Raw genomic sequence first — 3,215 nt, 5'->3', positions numbered from 1 at the left:
TGTGAAACAGACTAATACAGCAATTATGTTCTTATTGTGAATGATATAAAATAGTCACAAGTGAGGGCAGAATTCTGTTCTCAGTATTTGCGAATCATCTTGAGCAATACAATAACTCCAAGAACTTCTAACTCTAAAGCATGAGCTGAAGGCATTAAAATCTTTTTTAGGATGTGCTGCTATATTAAAATGAGTCAGTTTCAAACTCTAGGTCCCTGTTTGTACTTTGACTCTAGGCAAATATACAGGAGCCTTGTGAATACCATCTAATGTACCAAAAATTCACTTTGATACAGGTAATTCTGGAGCCCTAACCAAGATTTTCATTTTTCTTTTACTTTTTTAGTTTTAACCAGATATAGCAAAAGGACTTCACTGTAATTCTGTCTTATAATATGGATCCCATGGATGAGGTAGTACAAGTTTCTGTGTGCTGCACATATATATATGTGTGCGTATATATATATTTCCTGTGTTGCATATATATATATGTGTGTGTGTGCATATATATATATATATATATATATGTATGCTACAGGGAATTATAATCTGTAGCAGTTTTCTCAGAGGATCTCTATAGGCAGTTAATAGTAGTTGAAAAAGGAACTGTTTTTGAATTTTTGAGTTAAACAGTAAAACTAGTTTCTTTGTGGTACTTCTCAGAGCCTACAATCTGCTAATGTGTGTAGTGAATTTCCATGAGGATGATGTGTGGACTTTCTCACATTTTTAAATGTAACCCCTCCTCCTTTTATTTTTTGGCAGAGTATCTTATTGGATTTTTGTTTCATAGAATTTGGTCAATGATATTTACAGGATTAGAAATAAGCATTCTTGAATTTTTTTTGAAATTCTATGAAATAGCTCTTGGATCTGGGCTTCTAAGAGTATAGTTAATGCTTCTAAAACTTTAATATGCCTGTACATTTGCTGGGTATCTTGTTAATATGCGGAATTTACTTCAGTTGGTCTCCATGGGGGCAGTGATTTTGCATTTCTAACGTGTTCCCAGGTGATACTGATGCTACTGGTGTTTTAGCAGTCTTCGAGCAGTAAGGCTCCAGATGTATTTAAGTGCTTTCCTAGGTGAAAAGTGTTAAAGATAACCTCTGCCACCTGGCCTGGAGGTAAGGTGTTTAGAGAGGCTTCACCTTAGGGCACTGGAAGTTGGAGCTGAGTAAGTAGTTATACAAGCCAGATGATCTACTTGTATATTACTAATAATCTGTTTATTTTTCATTGTATACTTTTTCCTGGCTATGAGAGATACACAAACATATTTTCAGAATAAAATAGCAAATACCTATATGCTTTGACACTTGCTATGTGTCCAAAATATCCCATGGCCTTTTGAGAGGTCCTTGGTAGGGGAGTTTAGATCTCTGTTCTGTAAGCAATAATATTGAATGGGAAATACACATGTGGAATGCTTAGTTAGACCTCATTTAACCCCTTCCCTATCTCAACATTCATGTCCTCAGCCGAGGACAAAGACTTAACTGACTTTCTATGTGAAAATGTATCAGTGATTCAGAAGGGGTTTTAATTGTTTAAGGCTGGGATAACAATTAAGGTTTGCCTTTTGTGTTAACTCTATACATTTGTTCTTCAATATCTAAAGGGATGTCTATAGAAAGATTCAAGGCTATGGTCTGAGCTTGACGAGAGTGACACATTAGATTAATGATCTCTCTCCTGGGCATGGGAAGGAAAATATCCTCACAGGAGCTGAGCTGCATATTTGACACCCCTGATAAAGCATTAGGTTATGCTGACACCACATTGTCTACAGATGATCTTTGCACCTTCTGATTTGCTTAGTATCCATTGTCAAACACTTAAATATGGGTTAAGGCTACTATAAAAATTATTTACTTAATTATTTACTTATGCCATTTTTTTTCAGTACTAAAACTGCATTTTAGGTTGTGTGCTCAGAGTAATTGGGCCAAGATTCCAGTGAAATACCTGAATGGTGCTAAAAATAAATTCAATGAAATTCCTTTAAGTCCTTTCTCAGTGGTTAGATTGTTTACTCCTCAAATTCCTTGCTAACAAATTCTTCCTAATAGAGGTCCTGTTAGAGTCAATTAGTTAAGATTTATTTATAATTAGAAACTCCTATTTGCACGCAATTGACTCTTTCAAAGTCTTTCAGTAGGTTAAGTTTGTTTTCTGCAGTTTTGATTACAAATACTTCATTTTTGTTACAAAGTTAAGCTTTAGTTTAATTCTTGGTCATATCAAACATTTTAAATTCATTGAGTCTAAATCATGAGTTGATTATATTAGATTTGTGTAATAAAGCATTAACAATCATGACAGTTAAGATGATTCTTTTATGTGTTAGTTCATTGGGGCAGAAGACAGCATAATACAGATGCCCAGTGTAAAGAAGTTAGCAGATTCAAATTATCCAGTGGTTCACTCAACTAGAAACTCTAATTTTTAAAGAATGATGTAAAATTTGCTGGGCACTTGTGTGTACTCGCGTGCATATGTTCTTGTGTTGTTGGTGTATATTGTTCTGCTTTGTTTTGTTGTTCTTCATATACATTCAAATAAGAGCTTTTCTGACTTGGTAGTAGTAGGTCAGGATAAAGAGCTGGGGTGTGCTATCCCCTACTTGTGAGTTGTATATAATTTGTTAGGATTCTTTTGTGTCCACCTTTTTTTAAGTTTAGATGGCTGGCTCTGACTGCTATAACAAGGTATGTATCACAGCTATGTAATGTAAGAATGCAAAATCTACTATAGTTGTACTATAAATTCAGCACCTGTTACTGTATAATTAAGATACTGCATTTGAAGACAATAAAAAAGCTAATTCAAATACGTGTACAGAATATTGTTTTCTCATTCTTACATTAGGAAAGATGAGAATGTAGATTACTAGGCAGAAAAATAGAGAAATTTGTGTCAGAGATACTTGTAAGCTTATGCTTACATTCTTAACGTTTGTGTATTTGCTTTCATGTAGCTTTATACAAATCACATTGTCTAATGCATGGGGCAGAAGAGATCATAGCATGATGGATAATCCTCTTTGAGAGCAGGGACGGAGTCTTTTATATTTCTTTCCCTGCATGCCCTGTGCTGGGCTCTGTACAGAGCAAGTGTATTGATTGTAGAATCTCCAAATCATTTCTACATGTCTTTGGGCTGTAAGTAGGCATAAAATCAGGCAAAGATGGTAAATGAGGACTATAATATGA

The 3,215-nt window shown here is 34.6% G+C and overlaps 1 long non-coding RNA gene across 1 annotated transcript; it reads left to right on the top strand.

Moving 5' to 3' along the window:
* Nucleotides 1-559: 559 nt before the first annotated feature.
* Nucleotides 560-2,833, top strand: LINC01616 (long intergenic non-protein coding RNA 1616). Its single transcript, NR_132652.1, has one exon. It is a non-coding gene; the product is annotated as a long intergenic non-protein coding RNA 1616 (long non-coding RNA).
* The last annotated feature ends 382 nt before the right edge of the window (nucleotides 2,834-3,215 follow it).

Source organism: Homo sapiens, chromosome 11, assembly GCF_000001405.40.
Source record: "Homo sapiens chromosome 11, GRCh38.p14 Primary Assembly".
NCBI classification, from domain to species: Eukaryota; Metazoa; Chordata; class Mammalia; order Primates; family Hominidae; genus Homo; species Homo sapiens.
The sequence above is the reverse complement of the archived record's forward strand: the minus strand, read 5'-3'. Positions and strand labels throughout refer to the sequence as shown.